Source organism: Homo sapiens, chromosome 2 (assembly GCF_000001405.40).
Source record: "Homo sapiens chromosome 2, GRCh38.p14 Primary Assembly".
NCBI lineage: Eukaryota > Metazoa > Chordata > Mammalia > Primates > Hominidae > Homo > Homo sapiens.
The window spans coordinates 175,818,290-175,834,042 of record NC_000002.12 but is presented as its reverse complement, the minus strand read 5'-3'; the positions used below and the strand labels follow the sequence as shown (position 1 = coordinate 175,834,042).

The 15,753-nt window shown below is 38.5% G+C and overlaps 2 long non-coding RNA genes across 2 annotated transcripts in view, besides 1 other annotated feature; one reads left to right on the top strand and one right to left on the bottom strand.

Annotated features, from left to right (window-relative positions):
• The window catches only part of LOC107985962 (uncharacterized), a 243,604-nt gene that overhangs the window by 4,996 nt on the left and 222,855 nt on the right, over positions 1 to 15,753 (top strand). The window lies entirely within an intron of this gene.
• Positions 294 to 1,596, bottom strand: LOC124907909 (uncharacterized). The gene is made up of 2 exons (XR_007087313.1): positions 1,352 to 1,596; positions 294 to 502 (listed from the first exon to the last, which is right to left on the bottom strand). It is a non-coding gene; the product is annotated as an uncharacterized LOC124907909 (long non-coding RNA).
• Positions 10,596 to 10,796: a silencer, noted in NCBI's record as "peak3945 fragment used in MPRA reporter construct". NCBI's record gives its function as "represses an SCP1 promoter by STARR-seq MPRAs in K562 erythroleukemia cells {active_cell/tissue: K562}" and the evidence as "EXISTENCE:reporter gene assay evidence [ECO:0000049][PMID:32103011]".

Sequence of the window (15,753 nt, the reverse complement as noted above, 5' to 3'; positions counted from 1 at the left end):
CTTACAAATATAATTTGGTTTCAGATAATTGATTTAAAGGTTAAAACATTTGAACTTAGGCAACCTAGATTGAGAACAGTATTTTAAATCAAATTGTTAACTTGCCATTCTTTATAATGACTTGTTATAAGAAGTCTCGAGACTACTTTATCTAATTTCTTACAGAAAAAATATTTGCATAATTCACCAGCCGTCAATGAAGCACAGAGAAAAGAGCATTAATTTATGGAGATGAAAGGCGAGGGCTGAAGAAATAATTGTTTCCACTAGTAAACAAAACAGCTCACTTAGCATTCATTTCAACCTTTTAATCAACACTATTTGGTTAAACAAGAGAGCATCTTCCAGGGCGATTTAGGAGAAAATTTTCTTAAAAGTAATTCCCTTTAGATAAAATCAATATTGCTGTATTAGTCAGAGGTTCTGTGAAATCTTGGTAAGGTGTACTGGATAGCAGAAACAGCATACTGGTTCCCGCCCATCTGGCTGACCACTCTCGGTGCTGTGAGTAAATGGACAGCAACACACCAAGTGAGCTGATGGCATTCTTCCTTGGTTTCCTAATTATAAAACCTACACACCCCTGTATATGAAGAAACTGCCTATATATTCTTGTTGAAATAGAAATGTCAGGCTGTTCTAGGATGCTTTCAGAATTTTTGGGAGTCATTGAATGATACCCATAAAGAAGAAAAAATGATAGTCTGAGATGGCTCCGGATACAGGGTCCCTTCACAAAAAAAATTAGTAACTTGCCCAGCAATTAGAAAAAGGCAATAAGAAGAAAAAAAAAGCACTGGTTACAGGCATGAGCTTGAGGATGAGTCAGGGAAGAAAACATGTTGCTAAATTAAATCTCTAGTTAGATTTCATTACCTTATTAGTGTCTACACAGTATGTTTTACTATCTGTAAGTATTTGGTTCATTTATTTATTTGCTAGTTGAATGTCTATTTCCACATATTTGAAGCCCCAAGAGAGGAGAAGCATTTCCTGCTGTGTTTCCAGTATCTAATAACAAAATAAATTCTCAGTAAATACTGTGTTGAATAACTGTGGAAAGTTGTTGCAACTCCCTCCTTCAATCATAAGGGAAAAAAATCTGTATCTATTTCAATTTATTCTTGTCTGGAGGGAACTCAGTGATCCTAGAATTGCTCTTGAATCAAGTACAGGATGGATTAAGTCAATTATCATGAACTTTCTCTGGATCCAGAACTCTACATTTGCTTTGAACCCAGGCCAGATATAAGAGAGATGAGCATAGTTTGGGAACTTGTTTAGAGATTCATTCATTTGTTTCATTTATCCAACCACCCACCCATCCATCCAATATTATTTGAATACTTACTATGTGTTAGGAACTTTTCTGGGTGCTGGATGCAATAATGAATGGGTTCTTCTGCATCTCTCTTCAAATGCTAGAAACTTCCTGCAAGGTAATGAGGGAGTTATGAGCCTCCATATGGTTTTATAAGAATTCAAGGTCCAGACTCAGACTAGGTTTGTAGGAAGACATGAAGATTCATCACTCTAGTCACCATCAATGTTTACTCTTAAAAAAAGTTCCCAAGAAAGATTTTAATTTTTTTCATAGAGGGCTTATGATTTTTTTCTGGGAATTTAAAATTTTTCATTGTTTTTATGAATAGAATCTTCTTTTTATTTGTAATTTACAATTAGTTGCTGATAGCATACATGAAGTTGTTGAAATGTAATTAGTTTCAAATAGTTTCCCTCACTGAGCCCTATTATTCTAATACCTCTTAGTTATTTTGCTTTTCTTGGTTTTGTTTTGTTGTTAGTTACTAAACATAAAATCACATCAACTAGAAATAATGGTAATTTTATCTCCTCTATTCCAATAGCTTAGGCCTCTTATTTTTGTTTTTCTCATGATATTTTGGATAGACTTTTCAGGAAACTGTTAAATAATTGTGGGGCATTCCTGCCTTGAATCTTGTTTTGGAAATGTCAGAGATGGATGATAATGTTAATAATAATTATAATAGCTACCATGTACTGAATACTGACTGTATGCTATAATTGTAGACTTGTCTATTTCTTCTTCCATTTCAATCATTTTGTTTCATGCATTTTGAAGCCCTGTTATTAGATGAATATACATTTAGGTTTGTTATGTGAACTTGGTGTATTAACCCTCTCATCATTATAAAATGCCCCTCTTTATCTCTATGAGTATTCCTTGTTCTGAAGTCTACTTTGTCTGATATTAATGTGGCCACTTCTCTCTTTGGTTAGTATTTGCTTGGTATGTCTTTTCCATTCTTATATGTTTAATCTGTATTTATATTTAAAATTGCTTTCTTTAGATAGCATAGAGTTGGGTCTTGCTTTTTATCCAATTTCTAGTTTTTAATTGGAGTGTTTACATATCATTTACATTTAATGTAGTTATTGAAATGTTGGATTCAAAGCTACTGCCTTGCTATTTGTTTTTTTCTTTTTTTTTTCCTTTTCCTGCCTTCTTTTGGATTACTTTTATTATATTCATTTTATCTTCATGATGGTCTTATCAGCTATATGCTTTTATTTTATTTTTGTATTGGTTTTCTAAGGGTTACATTATACATCTTTAACTTATCACAATCTATCTTCAAATAATACCACATCACATGTAGTATAGGGTTCCTACAACAATGTACTTCCATTTCTCTTTTCCTGCCTTTGGCTCTATTGTCATCCACTTTAATTCTATATACATTTTAAAACACACAATACATTGTTATTTTTGTTTTGAAAGTCAATTACATGTTGAAGAGATCAAAAATTAGAAAAAAAGTCTCTTATATTTATCCACATATTTCCTACTCAAACATTCTTCAACACTTTGTAGATTCAAATTTCCATTTGTTGCCTTTTTTAAATTTATTTTTTATTGTTTTGCTTGATGAACATTTCTTGTTAAAGAAGCTCTTTGGACCTTAGAAACCTGATGTCAATAAATTCTCCCAGATTTGTTTGTCTGAAAAAGTCTATATTTCACCTTAATTTTTGAAAGATATCTTTGCTGGTTACAGAATTCAAAGTTGATACTTTTCCCCTATCCCTTAAAAAATATTGTTTTATTCTCTTCTGGCCTACATAGTTTCTGACAAGAAGTATGCTATAATTCTTATGTTTGTTCCTTTGTATGAACTGTGTCCTTTTTTTGGTCTTTTGGGCTGCTTTTAAAATTTTCTTTTTATCACTCTTTTTCAGTAATTTGATTATGAGATGGTTGGTGTAGCACTGTATCAAATAGATGTTTGGAATTGTTTTTATATACCTTCCCTAAATCAATCTCCTCTCATTTAAAGAAGAGCAAGAGGAAAAAATTGATACTGTGGGAGAAAATAGTACAAAGTGGAGGAATATTCATGACCACGAACTTTAGTATATTGACTCCTTATCATGAGATAGACACTATTTATCACTTTGTATTAGGTTGGTGCAAAAGTAATTACGTTTGCACCAACCTGTATGTATGACAAATCGAAGGCACAGAAAGGGTAGATAACTTTTTCCCAGGTCACACAGCTAGTAAATGATGGAGCCAAAGATACAAGTAAGGCAGCCTCAGCCATTGCCTCACTATTGCATCTGGAGAGTATTGGTCATGTCCACCTCTCACATCTCCTATCATGGATCTGACCTCCAAGACATGCACAGTTTCCAGAGACCAACCTGCTACTCTAGTACAGTTCTCCTAAAATAAGATGGGCTTCTCTCCTCATCTCTTTGTCTGATTCTCTGGCACTGTGAACAGTGTCAAGGAACATCAAAATCCCCAGGTTGAACGTCTACTAGGTCCTTCCTACACCTGCCTCTGTCCTAATGACATATACCAGTCCTACTGGCTACCCCATTGCCAAGTAGTTAATTTTTGAAGGTTGTGGTATCTGACTGGCAACGATGAGATTGGAACAGCACTCTGGCTGTCAAGTAGTTCACTAATGCAGCAAATAAATAGCTTCTCAGTTTTCTTGTTTGCGTAGACATGACCAGGAGATAGTAGAACTGGATGAAAGATCTCCCCACCTATTTTGAGATGTGCTTACACAGAAGGCCCCAAATTTCATTGCTCAACCCGTTTCCCTTGGTCATAGGGAAAGTATTTTCAGATTCTGCCACTGATGCTGGTAGTCCTTGTTCTCAGTGTTGTGGTGAGTTTTACCATTTTTCTCTGTTTTCTCATGTATTTTAAAGCGGGTCTGGGACAGATTATTTCAGGGGCTGCTAGCCACATGCTTTTTAAAACTGGAACTCTTTAATTTCATACAAGAAGTTGTCAGGAGGTAGATCAGGCTGTGAAGTTTGTCTATGTAAAGCCAGATATACCCATCTTTATTATTAAGTTTTTAATTTTAAAATTATCATACAGTAAAATTGACTTTTTTTTGGTGTAGAGTTCTATGAATTAAACACATAAATAGATTTGTGTTACCACTACCCAGAATTACACAACAGTTCATCATACCAAAATCTCTCCTCAGGCTCTGGTCACACCCTCACCTCACCCCATCACTTGGCAATCATTGAGTTTTTCTCCATTACTGTAGTCTACTCTATAGACTATAGAATCACTATTGTCCTTTAATGAATGTCATGTAAATAAACCTGTACAGTAAGTAACCTTTTGAAACTGTACTTTTTCATACAGCATAATGCCTTTGTGATTCATTCAAGTTGTTGCATGTATCCATAGTTTTATTTTATTTTATTTCTGAGGAGTAATTTATCATTGGGATGTACTGCAGTTTGTTTAGTCATTCCTCTGTTAAGGGACATTTGGGTTGTTTCTGATTTTTGGCAATTATAAATACAGCTGCCAGAAACATTTGTTTATAGGTTTTCGTGTCAACATAAGTTTTAATTTCTCTAAGGTAAATAGGAGTAGTACTGCTAGGTTTTATGGTGGGCATATATTTAACTTTGTGAGAAGCTACCTAACTGTTTTCCACACTGGCACTATCATTTTGGATTCCCACCAGCAATGTATGAGTGTTCCAGTTATTCTCTATCCTCACTAGCACTTGGTATTGTCAGTGTTTTAAATTTTAACCATTCTAATAGATGGTGGTATTGTCAGCATTTTTTATTTTAGCCATGACTTTAATTTGCATTTCCTAATGGCTGATGATGTTGAAACATTGTTTCATGTACTTATATCTTGTTTGGTGAAATCTATTCTCAAATCCTTTGCCCAATTTTTAATTGGTTTGTTTTCATATTGTTGAATTTTTTAATCCTTTGCATATTCTGAATACAAGTTATTTGTCAGATATGTGATTTGCAAATATTTTCTACCAGTTAATCACTTGTCTTTTCATTTTAACAATGACTTGCAGTGAGCAAGAGTTTTAAATCATAATGAAGTCTAATTTATCTACTTTATAACTCATGTTTTTCTTAACATTTCTGAGAATTCTTCAACTAACCCCAACCCACAAAGATTTTCTTCATTTTCTCCTAATAGTTTTATATTTCACCTTCAGATCTATGGTACATTTTGAGTTACTGTTTGTATAAGGTGTGAGGCTGAGCTTCAGGTTTGTTTGTTTGCATATGGATGGATGGCCAATTGTTCCAACACCACTTGTTGAAACGTGTCTTTATTGATCAGCTAATAAATACGTTTACATTTTTTAAAGTGATATTATTTAAAAGCAGCAGTTTTGACCTTTCTGACAACATCAGTTAGTCAATAATCAGTTTGACAACCAATCAGTTAGGCACTCCATCATTTAGTTACTCAACAAGCAGATCTGGAGGGCCTGCCTTGTGTCTGGCATTTTGCAAGGTGCCAGGGTTTCAAAAGTGCCTGGAACATGGTTTGTTTTCCTTTAAGATTTTACAGCGTATGCAGGAAAATACAGTAGGATAAACTTCCCATATGGATTTGTGTACAAAAGAAGACTATTTCCTTTTATGTCATGACTTCTAGAGATTATTTAATATCTGATCAGCACTTGTATGAGTGCCCAACTCTTTAATTTTTGGCTTCTTTTCCTTAAGTCACTGAACTAATCTTTAAACACATAAATGCTTAAAGGAGTACACTCTGTGAGGGAAGCTGAAGGTGAATCCTTCTGCAAAGGGAAATAACTATGTGTTCATTTTGTGTGTAAACACTCTCCATTTCCCAGATTTAAAGTGTGGACTTTTGAGCGGTGGATTTTCATAAAAGGGGCACATCAGCACCAAATATACCACTCTTTTCCCATGCAGAGGCTAAAGCAGCAAGACACATCTCCTAAATGCACTGTAGACAAAGACAGTGCTGGGGCCCATAGGTCATGTAATTCTGGTTATGTTTGATAAACTTATGATCAGAATAATATTGAGAACTAGAAAGTTGATGATGTTCTTTGAAGGTTAGAGTCAATAAATAAAGTTGGCTTTTGAGGGAGTAGCTGTAGGAGATCTAGATTCAGGTCATGAGGCATTAATTATCTCTTCTGTCTGAACCAGAAAGCCTCTTTCCTCTTCCCTATCTCCTTTCATTTTACCTGACACTCCAGAGTGGTTAGATTGGTAATGGGATAACGTGGAGGAAGCTGGATTCCAGTTTGGGTGGTATTTATGCCAGTGAGCTTGGGCTGCCATGCCTTGGTGCCTTCCACACACTGTTTATTTTAGTGTATGGAGAAAGCCAGTAGGAAGCTAGAAGAGCATGGCTTCTCACACGTAACAATCAAATAGTAGGAAAAATAAATATCAAACAAATAATAGCAGGGGCTTACATTTACTGAGCATTTGCTATGTGTCAGGCACTCTTCTAATCTCTTTATATGAATAAACACATAACTTTACACATTTTATCAATAATTTGATAAAGTAGGGATCATTATTCCCATTTTACAGATGAGATTAATTAGATTACAGAGATGTGGTAGACAGATTCTAAGATAACCCCCAGTTATCCCCATCTCCTGGTATTTATGTCCTGTGTAATCCCTCCCCTAGAATGTGGGCTGGCCTAGTGACATGCTCAAAATCAACAGAATATGGCAAAGGTGATAGAATATAACTTCTGTGGTTAGGCAACAAAGGATTGTGACTTCTACCTTGCTAGCTGATTCTCTCCCCTTGCCAGCATTGATGAAGCAAATTGCCATGTTGGGGATGTTCATGTGTCAAGGAATACAATTATTTTTTTTCATGCAGAAGAACATTTTAGAGACTTTCTAACCACTGCCATTCACAAAGAGAGTCTCAACAGGATTCCTGCAACAACAAGCCTATAGGTTTTAAGCTGTGAACATGTAGTTAGAAACTGAGACGTTCAATCCAGCAGCCCTTAAAGAAGTGAAATTCTGCCAACAACTACAAAAGTGAGCTTGGAAGTGGATGCTTCCCCAGTTGAGCCTTCAGATGAGACCCTAGCTCTGGCTGATGCTTTGATTGCAGCCTTGAGAGACACCCTGAAATAGAAGACCCAGCTAAGCTGGACTGGATTCCTCACCCACAGAAAGTGAATAAATAAGTGCTATTATTATTATTAGAATAATAATTTTAAGCTTCCAAGTTTGTGATAATTTGTTTCACAACAATAGATAACTAATACAAGAGACATAAAGTAATTTGCCCAGTCACATGTTAGTCTGGCTATAAGCTATGGATTCCCTTCTAGCGATCATCTCATGTAGAAATATCTCCAAAAAGTTTGCCACATGGTATTGGATTTCCCATTTAGAACACTAGAAGGGTTGGTTAACATTTCTTAAACAGTTCTTTGAAAGAGATATGGTATTTTTTAAGCCTCAGGAATCTGAAGGGAAAAGAACCTAGGAAATCTTGTTTGGAGTACGCAGTAAGCTATCAATCTTCACTTTTCCCTACTGTTTTTATTTTATTGTTCAGGGGCCAATGGTTCTTTGGGTTTAGCATCAGTCTGTTTTCACTTCATATTGATTCTAAAGGGAAGTAAGGCTGGACAAAAAGGAGTTAATTCTAGAAGCTCCAGCTGGGGACCATTTTTACCATTCAAATACCTGCCAGTTTAAAAGAAGGATGAATGTGGTGAATGAATTTTTTTTTTTCCAGAGGTGCCTGTAATAAAAAGTGGTTTGAATTTCATTCTAGTAGAAAAATATGTTTTTTTAAAAGAATTTACTTTGGAAAAGAATTTTAAGATTTCATGTATTTTTATATTTCCAGAAAAAAATCAAATTAACATGAAAAGCAGCAATGCCTTAGCATCCCAGGTGACACCTATGCTCTTTCCCTCTCCAGAGCTAGTATTGTAATGGTGCCTTATGTGCTTAGAAGACTGTCAGGACCCTTGAGAGCTGCTCGCTCCCTGCTGTAATCACCACCCAAGTTGTTAATTGTTTACAAAACGTACGTCCAACCATATGCCTTCTCATTAAAAAGGTCTAACCCAAATCCAACCCGCTCAGGAGGCCTTCGTCTATGGAGACCCCCTTGTTATAGTAATAAAAACATTTAGAGTTATTCTTCCACACAAAGGACATGTTAAATACATTGTTTTGTTTGTTTGTTTGTTTGTTTGTTTGTTTGTTTTGAGATGGGATCTCACTCTGTCTCCCAGGCTGGAGTGCAGTGGCGCAATCTCAGCTCACTGCTGCCTCGACCTCCCAGACTACAGGTGCACACCACTATGACTGGCTAATTTTTGTAATTATTTTTTTGTAGAGATGGGGTTTTGCCATGTTGCCCAGGCTGGTCTCCAACCCCTGGGCTCAAGCCATCCACCTACCGCAGTCTCCCAAAGTGCTGGGATTACAGGCATGAGCCACCACACCTGGCCAAAGATGTTTTAACTTCGGCCATCCACAGAGAGCACCTCACCAGAACTTCTGCAACCACGAAGCCCACAGATTTTACATTGCTTTAGACTTCTGGGATTACAATGGCTTTTTCGGGCTACTCAGTTGCTTATGTTAGACTGAAAGTGACTGATGTCCTGAGTGGAAAGCCTCAGGCCACCCGGATGCCCACGAATATGACACATAAAGCAACTAGTGCTGTGCTGTGTTCCTGAGGTGAATGGGGTGTTGGAGGCCGACTGTCACAACAGAGTTTGGTGGATTTTTCTTCACATGCTCTTTATCTTCTAGTTCTGTGCTCCTACAATAGTCACACCCGCCTCCTTTGTCTCTCTCAATACGTGAGGCATGCATTCAATATACTTCAGGTTGGATGATGAAAAGCCTGACCGAAACCTCAGTTGATCATTACTCCTATATGCTGTGAAGAATTTGTGACAGCTACTTAGAGGGGAAAAAGAGATCAAACATAATCTATACATGAAGGTTTTCAGACAAGTCCTCTCTGAGTTTGAACTCTAATAAGGGCTGATTCATTACTTAAATTCTTCAAGCTCTTACACTTACAGCCTGGGAAGTGTCCCTTCTAGAGCTGAGAATGCCCTTTTTGGCCTCTTCAGACATTTTGATTTCTAAGTTAAAAATTTTAAGACAATCTAGTCCCATTTACTCTTGGCATAACTTGAAGAAAGACAAGTTAAAAGGCTCTTGGAAAGTTAAAAAGCCTTTTAGAAGCCATATGCATTCAGACCGAGACTGGGATGACTTAAGTGTAAATGAATCAGAAACACGTGGATAATGTTTCCTTCAGTGAGCAACAGTGCTTTTAATGTGGGACCAGAATGTAGTAAGCCAGAGACCATTTCATTTTGTTTAAGCTCACATGGCTCCATTGCTGAACTTCAGGCTCAACTTCTTACTGCCCCTTTGCTTTCTAGAATGGAGTACCAGAGTGAACCCAGAATGCAAGATTCCTGTAGGCAGGAGCTGTGTACTGTTGACCTTACCCTGTGTATATAAGAACTCACCACATTGGTTGGGGAATAAAATTCTAGGATACTCAAAGCCCAGGTTCCATCTCCTTTAACCAATGCTATGGAGGTTATGTGTGTGTGATCTCTGAAGTTCAAATCCCTTCTTCTTCACTGACTATGTGACCTTGGGTAAGAGTGATGAACTTGAATAAGAGATGATGAGTGGGCCTCTCAACCCTTAGTTTTTCATTCTGTAAAGTGGGGATAATAATAAAATAGAAACCACTTCCTAGTGTTGTTCTGAGAATTAATAGAGGTCAAACATGTAAAAGCACTTAGCTCAACTTCTGGTCTAAAGCAAGTGTTTAATAAATGTTGGATATTATTATTGCTGAGTTAGCATCACAACATTTTATACATGAGTAACAGACATTGTTATAATTCTTGTAATGAATCTAGATGAATTATGTGGTAGTCATCAGAATGTTTTAATACATGATTTGGAAGTAGGTTGAGAGTCCTGGCCAACAGGATTATCATTCAGTGTGGTGCCATTGGCACGCAAGCCCTGGCTGGACGGCCTTTAGACTGAATTTAAAGCTTGGCACCACCACTTCCTCTGCCTGGCTTTAGAACATTGTGGAATAATCTCAGCTCTGGAAATTTGAGTTAGAGTTGATGACACTGGGCTTCAGCTCCACTTGCAGTGAAAGCCCCATGACAAGGCTTCAGTCCACATCAGCGCTCTCCAGCGAGCTTCTTTCTCCTGAATGTGCACAGATGGGTGGTTCTTTTGTTAGTCGGCTATGACTCATGTGCTCTGTTTAAATGTGTATTTTGTTGTGAGGCAGCCATTAGGGCCGTAAACTCATGGAGCGGTCCTCGTGCTGGGTGCTTGATCGATCTGTTACGCTTTGCAATATGGTATTCTCACCGTTGGGGATTTTACAAAGCCAGAACATGCTAGAAAAAGGAAAATTTGGTGATTCAGGAAAGCTTCAAGCCATTCAGGTAGTGCTCATCACCCTTTGCCGTCGTCACCCCCTTCCTGTCCCCCGACTCTGACTTTCTTTCTTCTTCCCTGGGACTAGCTTCCAAATAGCCCCTAGGAACTGACGCCCCAGTGTCCACACCACCCATCCCTCTATCAGTCACCTTGTGTGGCAGATGAAGTAAAATGTCCAGAATGTGCTTTTTGAATCAGAGTTTGTTTTTGTTTTTGTTTTTGTTTTTTTAAATTCCCTGTTTCCATTTACTTGTTTTTAATCTCTCTTTCTCTTTCCTCCCACCCCTCTGTGTGCCTGTGTGTGTGTGTTGATGCCGCACACCTGAAAGCACCAAGGCTGCTCTTCATGATGGCAGCATGAGGGGCTTGGTAGCATCTACAGCTACTCTCTGTGAATGTCTTAAAGAAAAAAAAAAAAAAGATACTGCAGTTCCTGCTCTTTTTTTATGCTAATCAAACATGTTCACTGACTGGTTTTAAGAATCACGAAGCTGCTTCACACACGGGCTGTAAGGAACTACTCACCCATATTCTGCAAATTTTATTTAGCCTGTTCAAAGTATTCCAAGCAGACCTCTTCTTTAGACAAAGAATTGAGTCCAGCTCGTCTCAGATTCCTTCTACTGGGGAATGAGTATAGAGATATATCAGGACAAGCCCTTCTTTTCTACTTTTTTTCTTTCTTCCAGCTTCTCTAGTAGGACCAAATGACAGGTCCTTCTTATTCCCATCCTCTAGCTGTGTGGAGTTTGACAAAGGGAATAAAATTGGTCAATTATAACTCTCCTTCATGTTTCCAGACTCTTCCATATTATTTATTCATAAATAAATCAATTATTTAACCCAGCAAACATTTGTTAATTTTATGGTAAGTGCAGTGCAGGACACAGGGTATCCAAGGGGAAAAAGGCAGTCTTCCTTTTGTGAGTAAAGTGTGTTGTAAATAAGGCAGGAACATAAACAAATCGGTCTAAGCCATTTACTAGAAACTAATAGAGGTAAGCAATGGTCCTGCAGCAAAGCAGAGCTGCTAATCCTGATGAGGCCCTGGGAGCATTTGACAAAGAAAGTGAGGGTTGAGCTGAATTTTGAAGGAGGAGATGGCGCTCTTGAGGGTACGTGCAAATTCAAGAAGGTGTGCCTGTGACCTGTTAGGGAAATGATCAGGACCTTAATAAGAGTGGAGTCAAGGGCTTCCAGAACCAAGTCACAGCCTCAGGAGCCATGCAGGCTAAGATGTTTCTGCAATGGAGCTGGAACTGTTGAAGATTTAGAACAAGGAAATGACATGTTGGACTTTGAAAGACGAATCTTGTGTCAGAGTGGGAGATGGGACTGCGAGGGGGGCTCAGTGAAATGAAATGGGAGACAGGCAAGCCAGCCAAGTGGTGACAGTAATGAGAGCCTGGACTGACGCAGGGTCTGGCAGAATTGAGAAGAAAGACATGCAGAAAAAGAAAACAAAGAGATTACTTTAAAGAAGAAATGACTGCAGCAGCGTCTCTTTCTAGGGTTCTGGGGCACTTCATCAGCTAGAAGGGGTAGGCCCCTTCAGGAAACGGTCTAATTAAATTGTTCGCACAATAAAATCACAAGAACTATTTCTTTTCTTCTGGCACTGAAAGATGACATTTGTGAGGACCCTGAAACATAGGGGAGCAGTGGGAGACTGGGCTGTGGTCAGTATAAAGAAGGGGACGGGGCCCTAAGAATGCTGTGTGTTGGCTGTGATGGAGTCAGAAATTCCCTGGAGCAGGGGTAAGCTCCCAGACAAATGGTGACTTGTATAATTTTGAGTTGTTTGCTGACCTGTGCTGAATGTGTCATCCATCCTTTCATTATTCCAAAGTATTTCATTATACTTTGGAATAATGTATATAACAATCTGTTATATACATTGGCTGGTGTGAGTGGTGCTTTGGGGAACGAAATTATGGGCAATGTGTAGGCTTGGGATGAGAAGATGAGGGGGGTATTCAGGCTTTAGGCATCACTCCTCCTCTGGGCCAGCATGTTTAGGAAATGCACAGGTTCTGGAAATTCAGGAGTGACCAGCAGAATGTGAGCAGAGGCCCCAGGCAGGGGCAGGAGCAAGTTAGGAGCCAGGCAATAGCTGAGAAACAGGCAGCAAGGTTGACTGACTCCAAAGTGATATGAAAAGAAACACCTTCCCTTAAATATACCAAAGGAAAGCGACTTCGAAGGATAGAAGCCAGGACCTGCTGTTACATGGCTAAGTACCTCAGGAGGCAATCGTTTGGGGTTTAAGAGATTCGAAGGAGGTGAAGTCATCAGAACACGGTGTCAGATTGAAAATGGGATGAACAGAGGAGGGAGGGATCAGGATGGCAAAGCAATGCCAGTTACGCTGCTGCCCTAACAAGGGAGCCCAGGGAGGGTGCTGATAACCATAAATGTGGGAGCAGGAAGGAAGTTTGGGATGAAGCTATAGATTCTTAGTACAGAGGAGGCAAATGGAAAAGACCACCCAGACACGATCCAGCGGAGAGGGAAAGGGGCAATGGCAGAGACCCTTCTAGATCAGACATTTCTGGACTGCCTTCTTTAAAACTCTGCTCCATTTGCTTGAACATTGCTTCTTCACTCTCTGACTTCCATTAGTGTTCCCAGGCAAAGGAACTGTAGATAGGATATACGCTGGTACTCAGGGGACTCTGCACTGCCTTTTATAGTGCCTATTGATTGTCTATGACAACAACTTTACATTAAGGGCCTGTTGTGCTCAAGGCACTAAGAACTTAGCAACATGCTTCAGATATTAGTGCTACCTAAAAGTGGTGGTTTATAAAATCTATTTCTTGTACTGCTGCTCCTTGAGGAACCCTAACAGTTCACTTTTGATGCAAGTACTGGAGTCATTTCCTATCCTATATTATCCTATCCTAGCCTCACCAATCCTAGCCCATCCCTCTCCATTCCGTTCCATACACTCCATTCTATTCCATTTCTATACAGGAAGCAGACTGTGTTCCAGAAGTAAATTTAGAAGTCAATTATTTAAACCCTGGATCATTTTTCCCTCACAGAATTAATGTTATAAAAACATGGTTCAACCCCTAGACTTTTAGTACAGGCCGTGGGGCAGGGCCACCAGTATGTGGCTAGAAGAGAGAGTGGTGAATAAGAGAAGACTTTTTCCTATTCAGAGTTCTGCTGCTACCTCTTCTTCTCCACCCCCAAGCTCCCCAATACTACCATCTTCATAAATCAGCCATTTGGATGAACTCGTTAATGAAGTAGTTGACTGGAACTCAGGGAGCAAGTCAATGCAAAGTAAAGCAAGCAAAGTAATCTCTGAGTCAGGCTACAAAATCTGCTCTTGATTTTTTGGCACCCCTCCCCAGAAAAATCCATGACCAGGGAAAGTATTCTAATTTGGGGACATCTGTGAGATAAACCAGTTAACGGGTTTAGTATTGAATAGGACTAAAGGTGATGGAGAGAACAGTTCCAGAAGCATGGGGACACTAAACAACTTGATTGGAGGAGTTGGCAAAACTGTCGCAGGTGAGGTGGCAGGGTGTGTTCTGTCAAAAGGACCAGTATATTTTAAGTTAATGGGCCAGGCATTCGTTAACTAATGTACTAACTGTTGAAAAGTCTTTGCAAGTGGCAGGAAGTTAAGGATGAACAGAATTTGCTCTCTGGAGGGAATATAACACAAGAGGTGGGTACATTCTTGGTTGGAGGAAGACAGGGTACTATAGAACCCTGTGGAAGGGGCCAATCCCACACAGGCAGAAGGTCAGGGTATGTGGGGAAGACATCCTGAAAGAATGTGAATTAGCTAGATGAAGAGGGGTGGAAGAGAGGTCCATGCAGACGAAATAGGACTGTCAAATGGCTATGAGAGAGAACCTGAAAGAACTTCATTTTGCTGAGAGTGTAGAATGCAGAGAAATGTAGAGAGATCAATATCTGGCATTTGGCAGTTTCTGGAATTTAGTTTTCTTAAATGAACGAAAATTTACAACTTTCATGTAGAAAAATTTACCAAATTTCAGCAAGAATGGAAATTGCATAACCAAAAGAGAGTGTAGAGTGTATCATAACTACTATTAAGACTAGTTTAATGAAAAGAAACCTATTTACTTTCTGCTACCAATTGGATTTTTCCCTGTTGTGGAACTTGTACTAAATTTAGGGAGTTTTTTTTGTCATTGTTGAAATTGTGTAATTTTAAATCTTTGATAAGCGTTCTAACAGAATTCCCTTTTTTATCTAAGGATTTTGCAAGCAATCCTAAAACCAGAGGAAAAAATTATGAAACACATAAGAGGGTATTTTTATGCTTTCTTATTCTTTGTTTAAAAGCAGCAGAATAGTATGCTTTTTTTCCACTCTTAAATGATCAGGCAAACATTTTCTCTAGGGAAATCTTGAACCAAACAGGATTGTTTCCATTTCCTTTACCTTCCTCTGAAACATACACCTGCTTTGGCATGATTCATAAAGACTAGAATCCCAGTGGGTATCAGACTCAGAAATGGACTGAGCCTTTAGGGAACAATTGGCTCATAAGTATAACAGGTAGGAAGTTAGCTTTGCCAAATGTGAAGTTAGCTTCACATTTAAATAATAATAAAAATGCAACTCCTGTTAACATTTCAGAAGATTATTACTAATCGCTTACTTTTCTAGGTCAGTGCTATATCTTGATTGGAAATGGACACATTTAGATACAACTTTAAGGTCTATTTTCACTCTACAGGAAGAGGTTGGAATGTTTCAGGAGGAGAGATAGAGGTGCCAAGCAGTAGTTCACTAATCAAATTAATTTCACGGTTTACTCTTCAAGTATTTACTATTCAGGTATTCCCCCAGTTTTTTTCTTTCAAACTTGGTTCAATCCTTGAACCAAACAGGATTGTTTGTTTCCTTTACCTCCATCTGAAACATCCAGTCACCTTTCTTTCCCTGTCACCTGCTTTGTGTGTGGGATCATGAAGCTATTTTT